The 18,656-nt window shown below is 55.0% G+C and overlaps 1 protein-coding gene across 36 annotated transcripts, besides 2 other annotated features; it reads right to left on the reverse strand.

The window, feature by feature from the left end:
* Window positions 517-816: a silencer, noted in NCBI's record as "silent region_2721". NCBI's record gives its function as "represses an Ori minimal core promoter by ATAC-STARR-seq in GM12878 lymphoblastoid cells {active_cell/tissue: GM12878}" and the evidence as "EXISTENCE:reporter gene assay evidence [ECO:0000049][PMID:35858748]".
* Window positions 9,264-18,652, reverse strand: POLL (DNA polymerase lambda). Of its 36 annotated transcripts, none has more exons than NR_033406.1 (9): window positions 18,586-18,652; window positions 17,504-17,582; window positions 16,244-16,538; window positions 15,698-15,860; window positions 14,984-15,301; window positions 13,890-14,063; window positions 13,145-13,273; window positions 10,630-10,798; window positions 9,264-10,199 (listed from the first exon to the last, which is right to left on the reverse strand). NR_033406.1 is itself a non-coding variant. In XM_011539655.2 (9 exons), the coding sequence occupies exons 2-9, from the start codon at window positions 17,740-17,742 to the stop codon at window positions 9,835-9,837; spliced, it is 1,452 nt and encodes a 483-aa protein (XP_011537957.1). In that variant the 5' UTR covers window positions 17,743-17,788; window positions 18,586-18,652; the 3' UTR covers window positions 9,264-9,834. The 36 variants fall into 36 exon arrangements, 35 of the variants coding, with proteins under 35 accessions (XP_011537957.1, XP_011537956.1, XP_011537953.1 ...); XM_011539655.2 differs by lacking the exon at window positions 17,504-17,582 and adding an exon at window positions 17,628-17,788 and having other exon boundaries at window positions 15,260-15,301; XM_011539654.2 differs by lacking the exon at window positions 17,504-17,582 and adding an exon at window positions 17,628-17,788 and having other exon boundaries at window positions 9,264-10,220; window positions 15,260-15,301.
* Window positions 18,279-18,558: an enhancer, noted in NCBI's record as "active region_3912". NCBI's record gives its function as "activates an Ori minimal core promoter by ATAC-STARR-seq in GM12878 lymphoblastoid cells {active_cell/tissue: GM12878}" and the evidence as "EXISTENCE:reporter gene assay evidence [ECO:0000049][PMID:35858748]".

Consider the following 18,656-nt stretch of genomic DNA (forward strand, 5'->3'; position numbering starts at 1 on the left):
GTGGGCTACAGGCGGAGCGATGGTCCCTGGGATGCAGTCCAGAGCTCAGCCCCCAGCTCAGCCCGGGAGGAGGCGCAGACGGCCTCAGCAAGTCTCGGAAGAGCTTCCCCGGGGGAGCTGGGCCCGCTTTCGTGTCCACGCATCCCGGCCCTCCTCCGCGAACCTTCTCAACTTCCCCACGGTGCTCCAGGCAGCCCCTCCCTCCGTCTCTCACGCCTTTCTCCTCTCCCCATCTCTTTCTTCTCTCAGGCTCTGCCTTCAAGGTGGGCGGGGAAAGAGGGATGGGGTGGGGACCTGGGGAGGTGCTGGTTCCCGCCCACTCGGTGTTCTCACCCCACCTGATCTCCCAGTTTAGAACATCCAGGATCAAGGACAGAACACACCCACGGGGAAACTGAGGCACAGAGCCCTGACCAGGGTTGAGTGTGGGGAATGGGGTCCCACCGGATTCAGCACCAAAGTCACCAGTCCCAGCTCCGCTGTCTCAGCTCCCGGCGGGGTGACGGGGAGGCTCTACCCCCTTCGAAGGGCACGCCAGGCCCCTTCGGGCCGCCTCCTGCAGAGAGGAGCGGGGGCTCGCGCTGCAGCAGCGCAGTGGGGACCCTTCCGCCCCACCCCACTCCACCCCACTCCACTCTCACGCCCGAGATCGGAGAGAAGCCCGGCCGCGGGTTTCTTGCCCCGCACCCACCGCACCCTCAACCACACCCCACCCAGGCCTTCCGCGCGGCCGGACCTCTTCGCCGGTCCTCGCGCGCCCTCTGCTGGCGGCTTCCAGGAAGCGCGCCCGTGGCCCCCAATACCCGCCCCGCCCCCAGCCAGGCCCCGCAGCCCGGCAGGCCCCGCACCCGTCCCCAAGGACGCCCCACGGAGCACTCCCCATCCCGCCATCCCCGTTTCAGTGCGGCCGCTCCCATTTCGGATCCCAGAGGCCCGTTTGTTCCCAGAGGGTGGAGGGTGTTAGGATCAGGAAGGCAGAGCCTGAAGCTAGAGTGGCGAGTGAGGCTCCTCCCTGCGGAGCCCGAGGGGCATCTGCAGCCCGAATTTATTCTTCGCAGGGAGGTAGAGAGGGGACATCTCCTTGCAGACCGCCCCTCCGCTTGGTGGTCCTGAGGCTCCCGTGGGCACAAGGTAAGGGAGAGCCAAGGAGGCCCTCAGGTGGGTGGACCCTGGTTCTCAGAGTCTCTGAGGTGGGAAGCTGGCGCTCAGGACTGTTGCCAGCAGGAAGGGGAAGAGCATGGCCTCTGGGTTCTCCTCTGGGGCCACGCCCGAGGGCCCTCGGCTCCCTCCCCGTTAGGCAGCTCGGGAGGAAGGGGAACAGGCCGGGGGATGATCCCCTTACAAGGTGCTGTCTGGCTGACAGGTAGGGAGGGTAGCTCGACCAGAGGCTATGCTCAAACTGGCCCCAAAGTGCTCCACAGAATGCTGGGTCCAAGGTCAGGATGATGAGGGAGGATTCCTCAGCGGACGCCTGGAGCTGTGGGGAGGCGACGTCTCAGGCCAGGCGAGGCCCCCATCAGGCCCTGAGGTGGAGTTGGCATGGGGACAAGTGAGGCATGTGTGGGCTGTGGGGCCGGACCGGGTGTGTGCAGGGACATGAGGCCAAGGGCTGAGGGGAAAGGGTCAGGTGTGTGCAGGCCCGCTGGGGCCATGGGGGACAGGGCAGACACGTAGGGATGTCTGTGAGCTACAGAGCCCGGACCCCTGCCTCCAGCAGGGCTGTAGCTTAGGAGTGCTCAGGCATTGGAGCCCTCGACACCACTAATTCCCAAATGGAGGTGGAGAGGTCAGGAGACCCCACCTCAGGGCAAGCGGGCGACTGCTGATTCCAAACCCCAGGCTTCAGGGCCGGGGACTGTGTCCTTCAACATCAGCACAGGAACCCTCCACAGACTGAAAAGCTCAGGCTCCTTGCTTCAGATAAGGGGGAAGGAGGGAAAGAGGTTAGGACAGAAAGCCCAGTTACATTTGGGATGGATCGAACCAGTCCCAGAGAGGAGCCAGGAAAACCAGCTGGGCTTCCCAGGTCACACAGATCTGAGCTGAAACCCAGCTCTGTTCTTCATATGGTGTGTGACTTAGAACTAGTAAATGAACCTCTCTGGGCCTCACTTTCATCATCTGCAAAATGGGGATAATACAACTATCAGAGGGCTGTTGGGAAGCCTACATGATATAATCCATGTGCAGAATGGGTTAAGGGTGGACTGGCCAGGCTCAGGAGTCAATAAATGACGGTGAAACTCTGCTGAAACAAACCAGAAATAGGGTACAGCTAACTCCTCACTGGAGGCTCCTTTCATAACCTGAAAAATGTGCCTTGGTCTTCTCCAACCTCCATAGAAGCTGTTGCCTTCTATCTAGTAGGAATCAAAAACATCTTTGGCCGGGTGCGGTGGCTCACGCCTGTAATCCCAGCACTTTGGGAGGCCGAGGCGGGCAGATCATGAGGTCAGGAGTTCGAGACCAGCCTGACCAACATGGTGAAACCCTGTCTCTACTAAAAATACAAAAATTAGCTGGGCATGGTGGCATGCACCTGTAATCCCAGCTACACAGGAGGCTGAGGCAGGAGAATCGCTTGAACCCGGGAGATGGAGGTTGTAGTCAGCTGAGATCGCGCCATTGCACACTCCAGCCTGGGCAACAAGAGCGAAACGCCATCTCAAAACAAACAAACAAAAAACATCTTTTACTGGCACCAATCCAGGCACCATGAATATATACATTTGAAAAACTCTGGTTTGGGAGGAGGAAGGGAACTCTGGTTTGAAAGGGCATCAGATTAGCCTGCCTGGAGTGCCCACAACCTAGAAGGCTCTACCTGAGCCAATGCCACAGAAACTCCTCTTGTCAAGGACCCACTCCTGTGAGAGGGAAGCTCACTGCTTACCACGCAGGGGCCCAGACTCCACCTGGGCAAGAGTCACAAATGTAAATGCTTACAGGGTTCGGTCCCAGTTACAGCAGTAGGGAGTGGTGAGGACTTTGGGTCCAGTCAGTTACTACCATGTGGGAATATAGGGGAAGGATGGCATTAGGACAGAGCACCCAGCCCTCTCCCAACTTCATCCCCTGCCCACCTCCTAGGAGCTTCCTAAGACACCCTTCCCCTAGGCCCTATGAGTCTGTTTCCTACTGCTGCATAACAGATTATCACAAACTCTGCCCCTTAAACCAACACCAACTTATGATCTCACAGTGCTGTAGGTCAGCAGTCTGAGCAGGCTCAGCCCAGTTCTCTGCTTAGGGTCCCACAAGGCTGAAATCCAGGTGTTGCCAGCCTGGGCTCTTCGCTGGTGGCTCTGGGAAAGGCTGCATCCACACACATTCTTGTTGCTGGTGGAATTCAGTTCCTTGTGGCTGTAGGACTGTTTCCCTGCTGGCTGTCAGCCAGGGCTGCTTTTCAAGGATGCTCTCTGGCCTTTCTCCTGCTTCAAATCTCTCTGACTGCCCTTCTGCTACCAGCCAGAGAAAGCTCTTTGCTTTTAAAGAGTTCATGTGATTAGACTAGGTCCTTTTGCCGTATAATGTGACATGACCACATGAGTGACACCTCATCACAGTCATACCCACACTCAAACGGGAGATAATCCAAAGGCAAAGATAACTGGGGGTGATCCTTTGAATCCTGCCCAGCACACTTAGCTTCTGGGGTGGGGTGGAAGCATGCCTTACTCCTAGGTCCAGCCCTCCTGACCTCTGAGAGACCTTGAACCAGGGCATATCCCATCTCTGGGCCTCAGTTTCCTCTTTTATAAATGGGGTAAGGGGGCTGGATGGCATCTAAAATTCCTCCCAGGTCCCAAATACTAACTGTGACACAGGGGATGGGGAATTCAGATCCCTTGACTGGGGGGCCCCACTGACCATGGAAGAGCAGGACTGTGTTGCCCTCCAGCAGCACCCCCATCCCAACCTCCCACAGGGCCTTGCTAGGGACAGCAGGATCGGTGACAGCCACACAGCACAGCAAAGGTGCCCAGCATAAGGCGGCCAGCTCCCCCGCTGAGCTGAGCTGTGGGCAAGTGGAGAGGCTGCTTCTGTAGCCAGAGACCACAGTGCCTGTGAGGCCCCATAGACCATGATGGGTCTATTATGGAGCCTGCACAGGGCAAGGTGGGCTGGATGTACTTGGGAGTGGGGTGGGGCAAAGTCCATGTTGGGTGGGCAACAACCCTCCTACCTCTCCACTCAAGCTGGTTTCCAGGCTCCTCTCCCAGATCCATCTCATCAGTCCTGATCTCAGCTTCTGCATCTCCAAAAGGGCCTTCTCAGGCTCCTCCTGCCCCTCCCACCTGGCCCTAGCTGGACAAGGGGCATTGACTTCAGCATCCTAGGCCCTCTGAGAGTCCCAATCATCCAGCCCCACCTGCTTCACTCCTCATCTTTCTCCCAGGCCCCTCCTACCCTCCCCAGGTGCCACTTTCAGTTCTGCCTACAAGCTGCCCTTCAGGGGTCCCCATTCCCCCAGGCTCCCACCAAGGCCCAGCAGAGGGGGCTGGAAGGAGCCCCTCCCCAACTCCATCCAAGCGCGGGAGCTGGGTAAGAGGCGGGGAAATGAATATTAATTTATCATGATTAGGCAAATCCGGCAGGGAGAGCCGATTCCGGCGGAGGAGGCTAAAAAGATGAATTTCAGCAATAAAATTAAATAAGGACGGACGGGCAGCCCCTCCTCCCTCCCGCTTTGCTGATCTCTCTCTTTCTTACAATTTATGAGGCCAATTATGAAGATGAGGTTGGAAGTTCCTGGAACTTCACTAAATGCAAACGGCGGTCCCTGCTGTTCCCATCAAATTAATTAACCGCGCGCTATTGATGGCCGCTCAAGGCTGACGCAGGCGGCCCACCCTGCGGCCTCCTCCATGGACACGAGGACACAGGGTCCGGGGGCCCAGCCAGGACTCCACCTGCAGTAGGGACTCCAGCACCACTGGGGACTTCCAGGGACCCCCCACCTCCTTCTACCCAAGGCCTTGCCTGAGCCCTTAACAACGCAGGGCCTCCACCAAGACCTAAACAGACAGGGCCACACGGTCACATGCCCAGGGTTGAGCACACACACACTCAGATACAAAATCATGAACATACAGCACAGACGCAGGGGCCGGGAATGTGCATTAGGCACACACATGCCCCTGCAGTGGAACATGAACACACATATGCAGGGGCACTACACACACAACAACAACCACCCAGCTGAGGGAACCGGAGCAAAGGATGGGGGAGGTGCGCTGTGTCTGGGGCTCTGGGCCTGCTCCATCAGGGCCAGGCTGAGTCCAGCAGGGCAAAGGTGCCACCATTGCTAAGAGGCTCCACTCAAGCAACGGCCAGTAGCCTGCCTTCCCTGGGGTCCGTACTGCCCTCCAGGGGCAACCTCGGGCCCCTACCCATGGCCCCTCAGCCCCTGGGGCCTTGCTTCATCTCCAGGCCTGGGGCCTTCTTCAGGGATGTTCCCTGCAGTGTGGGGACCAGGTCTTGCCGAACAGAGCCTCAGGCCAGTTTGGGACTTCATCCCTGAGGACTCCCCAGTTCCAGAGCTCAGAAGCAGTACTCCCCAGTGGCTCAAGAGTTCTGGAAAACTAAGGGCAGAGCAGACATAAGGCCAAAGGCACCTGCGGCTGAGCCCATCAAGGCCTGCAAGCCTGGTAGCAGCAGGTGCCCCAACAGCAGTAACTTGCATGGGAGGCCACTCCCTCAGATAACAGGGGAGGGCCTGGAAAGGGGCGCCCCTGTTTGGGGAGCCCAAGTCTTCTCCAAGCCACAGTCCTCCATCCTGGCAAGAGGCATCCCATTCCATTTAAAGGGAGAGTAATTCCATGATTCTCCTGGAGAAGCAAGACAATGGGCCTGGGTTTGCCTTTCCCAGCCATTGGAACTGTAGGATGGGACACAGCTAGACTTGCCTACCTTGTCATGCCCACTCCAGGTGATGCCTGGGAAGCCCCTGTCCCATGCCCACACCTGCCCTGTGAGCAGCTGGAACCCAGGAGGAAAGGCCAGGGCCTGTCTCGCTCCCCTTTCCCGGTGCCCACGTCTGCCTTGTGAGCAGCTGGAACCCAGGAGGAAAGGCCGGGGCCTGTCTTGCTCCCCTTTTAGTGTAGGTCTAAGGTCAAGACTGAGGTCCCCACCCCAGGCCCTGGGAAAAGATGAAGCTCCAAGCTCAGTAGGGGTGGGGCAGAGCAGCCCAGCGGGGACTTGCATCTTGCACAGTGTCAAGAAGAAACTGAAATTAGGGAGGCTCAGACTGAACATGTGGCAGCCCTGGGCTCATGTGAGGCTCCCCCTTCCCCACACACTTCAGAGGATGCCCTCTACCTCACAGCAGGGCCTGCTCACACTTGCTGTCCCTCTGCCTTTGTACAGGGAGAGCCCAACACGCACTCGGTCTATTGGGTTTCTGCAGTCACATTAACAAATTACACCAACTTACTGGCTTAAACACCACAGTCATTATCTCACAGTTCCACCAGCTCAAAATCCAACAGGGCTCCCTGAGATAAGGCCAGACATCAGCAGAGCTGCCATCCTTCTGGAGGCTCTAGAGTAGAAGCTGTTCCTTGGCTTCTCTGACTCTTAGAGGCTGCTCACACTTGGCTGGAGACCTTTCCCCATCTTCAAAGCCAGAAACTTCGCATCTCTCTGACCTTTCCTCGTCAAGTCTCTCTTTGATTGTAGATTGTAGCTTTTTTTTTTTTTTTTTTTTTTTTTGAGACAGGGTCTCACTCTGTTACAACTCAGGCTGGAGTGCAGTGGTGTAATCTCAGCTCATTGGAACCTCTGCACCTCTGCCTCCCAGGCTCAGGTGATCCTCCCACTTCAGCCTCCCAAGTAGCTGGGATTATAGGCACCACTAGGTCTGGCCATGCCTAGCTAACTTTTGAATTTTTTTTTTTTTTTTTTTGGTAGAGATGGGGTTTTGCCATGTTGACCAGGCTGGTCTCAAACTCCCAGGCTCAAGCAATCAACCCGCCTTGGCCTCGCAAAGTGTTGGGATTACAGGCGTCAGCCACCACACCCGGCCCTGACTGTAGCTCTTAAGAACTCATGTTTACACTGGGCCCACAGGATTACTCAGCATAATCACCTCATCTCAAAATGCTTAAGCTTCATCACAACTGCAAAGTCCCTCTAGCCAACTAAGGTGACATATTCACAGGTTCCAGGGATTAAGACATGGACATCTTCAGTGGACCATTATTCTGCCTGCCACACGTGGCCTGTCCAAGGACAACCCTGGCTCAGGGACAGAGTGATGAAGAACTGGGCTGGAGCAGGGAGCAGGCTTGTGGGGTCTCTCTGCCTACTCCAGGCCAGGTGGTGACTGGGTGGTAGGTGTGCGGGGTGCTCAGCTGCTGGACAGGACCCCAGTTACCACCAGGGCCCTGAAATGGAGTCTCTCTCCATTCAGGATGAATGGGAGACTGGGCTGAAAGCCTGTTCGAGAACCTGGTTCAGCGCTAAAGTGCCTGGGAACCCCCAATATTCATATTCCTTGCTTACTTGGACTCAGAGAACCTCATTTCACCTCATTTTACCTCCAAACTGGGCAGCCTTTCTCAAGACTCAGAAATCCCTCCATTAGCTCCTCTGCCTCAGTGGCTCTTCTCCTGGGCTTCTGTGTCAGACTGGGCAGCTGAAGGGACACCCAGATGGGTCACTGGAGGTGGGGCATGCTCCCTCTTTATCCCACGACTTTGTGTTGCCCTGGCCAGGAGGTGGGACCAAGAGTCTGCATGGTTTCAAGGCAGTCTCTGAATTCTGAGTCTCCTGGGGGAAGGAGTTAAGGCAGATGGGGAGGGATGTCAAGAATGGAGGTCAGACCCTGATTTCAGACAAAGAAGTAAGCGGCATCCCTCCCTGCAGTTCTGGGACCTCCCTGTGTGTAGGAAAACTTGGGCGAGCTACTCTATGGCCTGCTGCACACTGGTTCCCTCCACCCCCAGCCCTGGAGGTCCTGTTCCTTGGGCCTGGAGCAGGCTGCGGCAAAAGGAGAGAAGCAACTTCCACATTTGGACCCAGACACGCATCTTTGGACTTCTGCTGACTCCAACTCTTGCTGGGGACAGCAGCAGGCACTGAGGGACCAGTCCAGAGTGGGACCAAAAGCAAGCCTTCACACCCGGGGGCCCAGGCTTTCCCCAGCCCCTCTCCTATCTACCCAGGCCCCCACTGTGGCTCTTGGCAGCCATGTGTCCCTGGCAGTAGACACTCTCAGGGGAGAGGCTCGCCCCTCTAGAAGGCTTCTGGGCTTTTGATTGGCCATCTCTTGGGTTGGTGCTGAGCTGCGAAAGGGCCCTCCAGGTCCTGTGGGCTTCTGATTCCTTTCCCAACATGATCAGTGCTGGGAAGACCCCCTGACTTACACTTCAGGGGTATGAGCTTGAGTTGGGGGGCCTACTCCCAGGCTGCTAGGATCCCATGATCGAGACCAGGCAGACAAAGGCTGGCTCCGGGACTCTGCAAGTTACCAACAGAAATGTAGCCCACCCAGCACACTCAAGGTGGGATCCCCCTGTGGAGCCAAAGCTGCCCTCACGCGTCACCACCCAACTCCCAGCATGGGGCCTCTCCAGGCTCCTCCTCCAATACAGTCTCCTTCTGACTCTGTGCCCACTCCTCCTCATACTTGGGCTGCCTGAAGCTCCTTCCATGACCCCACTCCCCCACCAAGTCTCCCTGCCCTGTGAAACAGCCTCAGGAAGACATCCCGCACTCCCCAGCGGGACCTGCTCCTGTCTGCTCTATCAAACCAAGCTCTGCTTCCAGTCCTCTGCCAGCCCAGCCTGCTCCTGACTCCCAGCACACAGTGTCCTCTCTAAAGCTGTTCCTTAATTGTCCCCAAACAGAGCCTGCTGACTCCTCTCAGAGGCAATTTCCCTGCCAGTCTGCCTCTCTCCTCCTCCGGGAAGCCTTCCCTGGCCGCCCATCCCTGTGTACACGGTCACCATTTAGTTGTTCCTAATGGTTTCCTGAGTCTTGTCACTTTTGCTCATGTCCCCTGATAGCCTGGTCTAAGGTAGGGCCTGCAGAAGATGCTGATGACTAGATAGGAGCTCTGGGTGCCTGGCTCCAACATTCTCCCTGGTCACAGCCACTGCTGTCCTTGCTGTGAGTTTAGGAGCTGACTCAGGCCAGTCCTGTCTGGAGGGCAGTTAACACAGCCTTTCTGGGCTCCTCTTTTCAGTTCCCATCTCTGTCGTCCCTGCCTGGGTGGAACAAGGTAGCCAGAGGCTGCAGCAGCTCAGACACCAGGCAGGTTCAATGTCAAATGCACTTTACTGGGCCCCTGGGCCTCCCAACACTGTCCTCACCAAGGCTGGGGCACCCCATTCCCAGCACCACCAGCTGCCCAGGAAGCAGGACGGATAGAGGGAACACATGTGGAATGGCTGTTCTCCTACCCCAGAGGGTGCCGGATGATGTTGACAGCACGGCTGCTTCCCTCTCCCCTGCAGCTTCTGTCCCCACCCAGCAGCTTGGCCTTTCCCATAGCAGGGAAGGGGGATACCTGGGGCTTCAAACCAGCCACCTGCTCCTGCTTAAAATGGGGCAAGGGGCCATTTGCAAAATTCTTCGAGGGGCAGTGGTGAGGTAGAAGGGGTGGCAGCCTGCTCCTGTCTGGGAGAGGGCTGGGCAGACACTGGGAGCCGGGCAGACACTGGGAGCCGGGCTGGCTCTTGCTTCAGGCCCAGAGCCCTGGGCCCTGCTCGCTGAGGAAGCTGGTGGTTGGAGCGGCGAGGTTCAGCCAGCTGAGGCTGGAGGGAGTACTGGGTGGCCAGGAGGGGTAGCCAGTCCAACTCGGCTCTCCTCAGCACCCCCAGCCATGGGTCACCAGTCCCGCTCAGCAGGTTCTCGGTAGGGGAGGCCTAAGAGCCTGAAGACATCCTTCTCAGTGGGAGTGGGCAGCACTCGGCCAGGCCCCACCTTGCAGCCATGGGTGTTCCGGACCACAGCAGTGCTGAGGGCATGTTCTGACAGACTCATGCCCTTGGTTTTGGCCAGGGCTCGCATGGAGCGGTTGAAGTGTGCAGAGCCGGTGAAGTAGAGCAGGGCACAGGCAAACTCGCTATAGGGCACCACGATGATGTCCAGGCGCCGGTGCCGCCGCCCTGGCCCTGGGAGCCGGCACACCCCCAAGTACTTCTGTTGCTGACCATTCTCCTCTTGGCTCACCAAGTCATCTGTGAGGAACCCTGGCCCAACAGAGGGGACTGCTGGGAGGGCAGGGAACCAGGCCTGGGCTGTCCCATCCTCCCAGGTCTCTCCTGATGTCTAAGCTGGGGCTTGCCCAGGTATTAGCTGGGTGACACTACCCTCTCTGGGCCCTTCTCCTTTTCTGTAAAACATGGATAGTAATTCCCATCTCCCCCATAGTGTCACAGAAAGATCAGATGAGATACTTGGCCTGCAGGGTTCACTGAGCACCTCCACATAGGTGTGGCGGGGCTGTTCCATCTCTCCCTGGAGAGGATTCCGGCCCCGATAGAGAGATGGGATGCTGGCAAAGCACTGTTCCCCTGCTTCCTGCCTCAGGACTGGAACTTCTGAGGTTCTCCCTCTGAGGGGGCCCCCAGACCTGTGCTGCCCTCTGTCAACCTGCTCACCCAGAGATGGAGCTTATACCTTCCTGCCGAAGACTGTCAAGGAGGCGGCTGAAGATACCCCGGTGGGACCGGCCATCTGGGTGAGTGATGAGCACGTCGACATCACCACAGGTCGCCTTTCCCCGTCGGTATGAACCACATGCCACACACAGCAGCCCAGAGTTAAAGGCCTGGGCTGCTTTCTGGACCTGGGAAAGAGAGCGGTGACAGGTGAGGGGCTGTGCGTGGGGAGCTCCTCTCCCACAGCAGTACAAGGGCCTTCCCAGACTCGGGCCCACACCCTCAGCTTATGCCCATTCCAGATGCCTGCTGCAAGCCCAGGGGAATCCACCCTGAGGAGCTGCTGTTCTTTCCCTTCGCTAGGACAGGAGAGAAGAAAAAGCTCACTGTGCAGGAGGCAAGCCTGAGGAGAGACGGGAGAAGGTGCCGGCTCTGCTTCTGAGAGTGGGCACTGAGCTTGCCCTGTGGAGCTCTTTAAGAGTAGGGAGACACAGACTCTCTCTGCCCCTGCCCCAGCCCACGTGCCCAGGTCTGTGAAACTCCACTTAGGACAAGGGGCCAGGTGCTGAAAGCCCTCAGCCAGGTCTAGGCAGCCCCAGATATCTACTGATTTGGAGCTAAAGGTTTGGAATATGTGAGCTGGGGTTTGAGGACTGAGCAGGTGGCTGGCAGCATGCGCCAGGCCCAGGCCCAGGAGAAAGTGGAGCACAGAAATACAGCTGCACCTGTGGGAAAGGAGAGGAAAGAAAGCAAAGAGGGGGCAGTTCTGAGCCAACACCCACATCCTTTCTTGGTGGGGAGGGAGCTGAGACAGCAACTGCCAGCTGAAGGATTGTCCCTCTGAGGAAAAATAAACCCATTAGCCTCCACCCCTGAGACACTGAGGTTCTTTCATATGCAGATGGCCTCCTGCCTCCACCCCAGGACACTGAAAATTCTGGGGCCCCGGACACCTCAAGTATCCTGACAGGAGGGCTCCGCTAATCCCCTTACTCCCTTCTTGAGCCTCCCAAGAGAATGGAAGGAGGAGGTCCACGTGAGTAATCCCATCAAAACTCCTATGGCTGGAGCCCTTAAATGGGGGCACAGGAGGCCAGGTGGGAAGCCTCTTTTGTTCCAATGGGCTGGGTACTGACTGAGGCATTCTCCATGCCCGGACACCATGGCTGAGTGACGGTGTCATCACTAGCACCAAGGCCTGGTGATGGGCAGACAAAGAGGCCTGTCCATCCATCTCATACCGGCCTCATAGCCTTGTGGCCTGGAATGGAGCTGGGGGCTGATTTCAATCAAACTAGGCCAGTCTCCATGGGATCCCACTCTATCAGAATCCCTGACCAAAGTGAGCAAAACTTGCCTATTACAAGCAGCTCCTAATCCTAATGCCCATTGAACAAATGATACATCTAGCCCTAAATGCAGTCCAGTGTCTCTCTAATCTAGCTTTTACATGAACCTAATCGCTAACCCAACTCTAAACCAAACCCAAATCTTATTTCTTGGACAACTACAAATCTTAACTTAAAAGCAACCAACATTAAGAAAATCCTACGCCTAATTAAAGCCTAACTTTAACTCAATCTTTTTTTTTTTTTCAGACAGAGTCTTGCTCTGTTGCCCAGGCTAGAGTGCAGTGGCACAATCTTGGCTCGCTGCAACCTCCGCCTCCCAGGTTCAAGCAAATCTCCCACCTCAGCCTCCCAAGAAACTGGGATTATAGGCATGAGCCACGGCACCCGCCTAACTTTTTTGTATTTTTAGTAGAGACGGGGTTTCGCCATGTTTGCCAGGCTGGAAATTTTTGTATGTTTTATAGAGACAGGGTTTCACCACGTTGGCCAGGCTGGTCTCGAGCTCCTGAGCTCAGATGATCTGTCCACCCTGTTCTCCCAATGTGCTGGGATTAAAGGCATAAGCCACTGTGCCTGGTCTTAACTCCATCTTGATGGAGCTTTCTTCCAGCCCCAAACCAAATCCTACTGACACTGTGCTTTTACACCAACTCTACCCCAAATCCTGAGCCAGCCTTGCGTGGGCTTTAGAAGGTCCATACATCTGGAAAAAGACATAAACCTTTGCACATTTGTGCATTTTGGGGAGAAAACAGTCCACAGTTTTCATCAGGTTCTCAAAGAAGTTGGTGAAATAAAAAAAAAAGATAAAATAAAATATTAAAACCCTCTGCCCTGACCCACCCTAACCTCAGTACAGATATAATTCACCTGTAATCTAACCCTAACATTAACCCAATCCTAACACCAATCAGTCTAGAATTGAATCCAATCCTAATAGGCCTGACTACTGAGAACCAGAATCTAGAGGGCTGGTGTTACAGCTCTTTCCTCCCAAAGCTCCCCACCCCCACCTCTGGGCCTGGAGCTTCAGTCTTAACTTGCTCTGTGCTCAACCTCTGGTGATCCACAGTTTCCTCTGCCTGCTGTCCTCCCCAGCTGAGGAGTTGGGGGTTCTTGGCTTTGACCCAAGACCTTACAGCAGGACCTGGCTGTCCTCACTGCTCTGGGACACCTGCTTACTGTCTGCTCAATCTCTGTAGCCTCCTCCCTGGGCATACGTTCCAGGAAGTCACTGTAATGCTTCAGGCCGATGGCCTGCTGGGTTGTCAGGGAGGCCTGGCTGCGGATGTCTTCCAGACTTCGGAAGCCCTGGAAAAAAGCAGCCAGATGGGAAGCTGTAAGGATCCAGGACCAATGAAGAGGCATGAGTGAGCACACACACAAGGCTTCCATCGCCCCAGACTCTAGGGAAGGCTAGAGGCAGGACCAACCTAGGGGCAGTTGGGTCTGTACTCAGCAGGACTTGGGAAAGGCAGGGAGCATGGGAAACATGCCATCATCCAGCCCTGCCACTATCCTAAGATGCTCGTTCATGATTCCATCAGTCTGAGGATGGACCTTGTCATCTTCATCCTTACCAAGCTGCCCTGGTGATTGTGGGCAGAGCCAGGATTGGGAACCACTGCTCTAGACACGCAGTGTCAAGGCCTGGCCTCCTCAGGAAGGCCCTTGCTGGTCTGGGGAGACTGAGAAACATACTTCTTGTCCCTGTCTACTCCTTCTTAAGGATACCAAGCAACAAGGCTGTTCTGGGAGCTGAGGGGTCTATATGAGTCCTGGTCCGCTTGAAAAATGGTCTCCCTATACTGTGGGTGCATTCCCATCAGAGCACAGCATAGGGATCTGGGGCAGAGCACAGCACACATCTGGGGCAGGAACTCTGAGACACAGCAAAACTGAAGTAGGGGCTGAGCCAGGGTGTGACCTGTTGGTACCACATCTGGGCAGTCTTGGTCCCAGCTCCCCAGATGTTGGAGAAGAGCTCCAAGACAGGCACGCTCTCACTGATATGGTCCAGCTTCCGCAAATGCCCGCTCTCCAGGATCTCTATGATTTTCTCAGCCATCCGCTTCCCAATCCCAGGGATACTGCAGGCCTCCTAGAGGAGGAGGAGGCAGAGGCAAGAAAGAAGAGTGAGGAGATGGAAGAGGTAGAGCCAGTGGAAAGGAAGCTGACTCCTCTAGCAGATGCTGACATAAAAGCCAGCCTGGCTGCTTGGCAACTGTGTGGCTGTGTAAAGCTTGGGTGTAGTTGAAGATGAGAATTTTGGATAGAATGAGGGCTGGGTAATTTGTCTTTTGGTTCCCAGAAGGATGGAGACCAGCAGTAAGAAGTAGAAAATAATGATGATATTAGTCACCACCACCACCACCACCATCATCATCATTCCAACAGCAAGAGCTAACATTTACTGAGGGCTTACTCTATGTCAGGTCCTGTGCTACAGGGACCATTTCATTTAATAGTAGCCCCTTTTTACTAATGAGAAAACTGATGCTTTGAGAGTTTAAGTAACTTGTCTGGAGTCACACAGTTAGTGAATGACAGGAACCAGAGTTCAAACCCTGGTCTGTTAGGCTTCAGAGTCCAAACTTCTTTTAAACAACTTTTTAGGCGGGACACAAGGGCTCATGGCTGTAATCCCAGCACTTTGCAGGGCTGAGCCGAGGGTAGATTGCTTGAGCCCAGGAGTTCAAGACCAGCCTGGGTAACACGGCAAAACACCATCTCTGCTAAATAAATGAATAAATAAATAAATAAACAAAATTAAAAATAAAAAACTTTTAATTATGTTAAAAAATTCAAAAGTAGAGAGATCCATATAACCCCCAAGTATCGTACATCTCCCAGCTTCAACAACTATCAAGATTTTGCCAATCTGCTTTCATCAATTTTCCTTTTTTTTCTTTTGTGCAAGTCCTAGACCCCATAAAATCTTCACCACTGTACCTGAACCCCACTGGGGTTACTAACCACTGGCCAGTAAAGACCCCTCCTCCCACTCTAGCCCCTGGGTACCTGGTACGAGGTGACAGGCTTATGGAAGCTCTTGAGGGCATTGATGGCCTTGGCATAGCCCAGGGCCCTCCACTTGTCTCCCTGAACACTGTAGGCTTTGGCCAGAACTTCCAGCTTCTCTGTGATATGGAGGTTGTGATTGGTCGCCTTCTGGCTTGAGGGCTGTGCACAGACCCACTTATCCAGGACAGCAGGGGCTGGGCTAGGCTCACAATCTCCCTCAAGGGAGGTGGGGTAGTGGCCACTGATGAGGGCTTCCAGATCAGCTGCACTAACCTGGGTTTCTTCCCCATCACTGGCTTCATCATCAGAGATGGGCTTGGGATAGAGAAGAAAAGAAAACAATAAATTCTTGTTCTCCAAGAGAAGGGATCCTTAAAGGTGGGGGTCATCTTCTTTGTGCGGGGGGAGGGTCTTCTAGTCAGACCTAAGAATGAGGCGGGGCCTTCTGCATCAGACTTGGATCTCCTTGGGTGTGAGGCCACGTTCCCTTTGGCTCCACGCAGTGCCTAGCCCTAGGATCCCCAGTGGTATGTGTTAGATATGGCCTAGATAAATGCAGCAGTGATGAGTGTTGGGAAGAGCTAAATGGCTTCACAATAGAGCCCTCCTCTCTCAGGGGCCTGGGACTTTCTGAACAGCCACCAGGCCCACCCCATTTCTGTGATCTGCTTCCTAGGGGAAGGGAGTTCTGAGGGATGGGAGGCTCCTGACCTGGGCTTGGGTGTTTGGTGCCTCTTTTGCCTTTTGGGGAGGAGACACAGGCCTGGTGGGAGGAGGAGGAGGAGAAAGGGCTGTCTGAAGCAGGGCCTCATGGGTGCCAGGAGGAATAGAAGCATCCTGCTCTGCCTTGCTGGGCTGTGGATGGTCCAAGTACCTGTGGGGATGGTGATGGGAGGTTAAGACACCAAAGGTCTCACCCTGTATCTGTCCCCAGTCCTTCTGTACTCTGAAATACTTGGTTTCCCAGTGTGTCCAATTAAGAAAACGAGTTTTTTGAGGTTTTTGGAGTTTCTCTTGAGACAGGGTCTTGCTCTGTCACCCAGGCTGGAGTACAGTGGTACGATCAAGGCTCACTGCAGCCTTAACCTCCCTGGCTCAATCAATCCTCCCACCTAAACCTCTTATAGCTGGGACTACAGGCACACCCCACCATGCCTGGCTAATTTTTTAATTAATGATAGTTATTTTTAATAATTCAAGAAAAGAGCTCAAGATGCTACTAGAAAACATTTGAAAAAAAGACTGGGATCAGCCCACCTACTGGGGATGAAGATGCTGAATCCAGCTACATCCACCAGCCTCCTCTCCTGAAGGCACAAGCTCAGCCAGGCTGACTTCACCAGCTGAGCACCCGGGGGCAGCTGGGGTAGTCTGAGAAGGCGGAGGGCTCGCTCATAGTCCATGCCTTCATCCACCACAATGTGAGTGACACCTGGGCCCTGGGCAGGGCATAGCTGGCCGCCATGCTGAACAATCTGCTTCTCAAAGAGTTCTGCCCGGGCTCGTCCAATGCCAGTGCGCACAACATGGGCCCGAAGGGAGCTCAGCCACTCTGTGGAAGGAACATCCAGATGACTACTGTTGTAACTTTTTAATTTTTATCTGCCACCCCCTGGCCACGACATAACTTCTAACATGATCTGAATGACGTGTTCACAGTCCCCTACCCTGAAAATAAGCATTTCCCTTCCATCCAGACAGCTTTCCTTCTACATATAGCAAATTTTCTCACAGGCCAGCACTTGAATGTAAGGGACAAGGATTTTCATACGTCCTGTTCCTTGGTGCAATCTAGAAGTGTCTGGCACATTGTAAGTAACCTGTAAATATTTGTTTAATGAATGCCTCCTCCCTTCTTACTTTGTTTTTTGTTTGTTTGTTTTGTTTTCTTTTGTTTTGTTTTTGTTTGGAGACAGTCTCACTCTGTCGCCCAGGCTGGAGTACAGTGGCATCGTCTTGGCTCACTGCAACCTCCATCTCCCGAGTTCAAGCGATTCTCATGCCTCAGCCTCCCGAGTAGCTGGGATTACCGGCGTGTGCCACCATGCCTGGCTAATTTTTTGTATTTTTAGTAGAGACAGGGTTTCGCCATGTTGCCCAAGCTGGTCTCGAACTCCTGAGCACAGGTGATCTGCCTGCCTCGGCCTCCCAAAGTGCTGAGATTACAGGCAAGAGCCACCGCGCCCAGCCTCTCTCCATACTTTGAATCCTTTATCATTTATTCTTTCAACAAAGCGCGTTTCTTGCCCTTACAGTCTGACAGACCCGACAACCCTGCCTCCAAAGCCTCTGCCATTTATTTGCCAATTTGGCTGCAAAACAACTAACAACAAGCCTGGGTAATGGAGGGGGGTTTCTGTCCCAGTCCTCAGGGCAAAAATTATACTGGTCATTCCCTGAGGGCCCAGGGAGTCTTTTCTGATGGATAGAGGTCTTCGGGTAGAAAAGAAGGTAACACAGCAAATAGCCTGTCCAAGACCCAGGACCAAGCTTAGCACAAGGTAGATACAAACAGACCTGCAGGCCCTGGACAGGCAGAGTCAGCTCCAATATCTGATTCTGGACATAAACAACGTAGGGCTGAAGCACATGAAGGCTGTGGGTTCAAGCACACGAGGGTTCTGAGACTGGGTCAGCTCACCTTCTGCTTCTTCTCCCTCTTCCCTCCTAGGAATCTTTGCAAGTACTTTTGATGATGCATCAGCATGAATTTTCTGCCGCTTGGGAAATGCCTTCAAGATACCCCTGGGATCCATTGAAGTATGGCTGGATCCCGGCCTATTGGAGCGTTGGTCAGGGCTGCTGCACGTGGAAATCCAGAATTGAGGCCCTCCAACCCCTTTGCCTATGGAGGTAGGGTCTTTCCTGACCAGGCTTTGGGGGTAGCAGCCCAGTTTGGGGAAGCGGGTCGGGGGAGGGGGTCTCTTCAAACCCGGTTAAACTTCAGTGGTTTAGCCTAGCTTCACACTCCCCAGCCTTTCGAAGTTGGAGTATTACGGGAAATGAGGGGAAGGCTGGTGCCATCGGGGGTACTTTTGAGGAGTAGGAAACGACACCATTCCTCAGAGGGGTTGCGCTAAAGATTCAGCACAGCCCTGCTGCGGCCCACTTCGAAGGGCTTTACCAAATGGGATGCTGGGCTAGGAAATGGAGCTTTAGGGGATGGAGCGGAGCCTGGGGAGGACCTGCACATAAACCCCACATACTATTTCTCTACCTCCAACACAGACTCGCAGAGGAAGGAGGAGGACTTTCGGGGGTGAGTGGGAACGCCCTGCACCTGTCCTGGTCTCAGCCTCTCGACATGGGGGTGCTCAGCGCCGCAGCTGCGGGGAGATGGGGCACGGCCGCAGCAGGTGTGGGGAGCCCTCCGGGAATGGAGGAGTCTCGCAGCTGCGGGTGAAGTCCCGGGCAGGTGCGGTGTACTCGCCGTGTACGCAGCTGGCGCAGGCCAGGGAATCCCAGCTCGGGGCTAGAAGAAAGCTGGAGTGCCCGACCCCGGCCCCAAGAGTCTCTCCAACCCCCAGAGTCGGTCCCCGGGTGGGGTCGACTACTGGCCAAGCTAGTCACCCGGGGGTGGGCAGGAATAGACCACTTACCAGCAGAGCCAATGAGAGCGGACGAAGGGGGGAAGGAGGGCAAATGGCCAGAATAGCTTCCGAGTCAGCCG

This window comes from Homo sapiens, chromosome 10, assembly GCF_000001405.40.
Source record: "Homo sapiens chromosome 10, GRCh38.p14 Primary Assembly".
In the NCBI taxonomy this organism is placed as follows: Eukaryota; Metazoa; Chordata; class Mammalia; order Primates; family Hominidae; genus Homo; species Homo sapiens.

Excerpts from the sequence above, each read along its gene's own strand:
- POLL (XM_011539650.2), bottom strand. The coding sequence starts at position 17,742 with ATGGATCCCAGGGGTATCTTGAAGGCATTTCCCAAGCGGCAGAAAATT. Across the intron at positions 14,064-14,983 it reads AGCCTGTCACCTCGTACCAG|GAGGCCTGCAGTATCCCTGG; the intron begins GTACCCAGGGGC and ends CTCCTCCTCTAG. Across the intron at positions 10,221-10,629 it reads TGACAGTCTTCGGCAGGAAG|CAGTCCCCTCTGTTGGGCCA; the intron begins GTATAAGCTCCA and ends CTGCCCTCCCAG.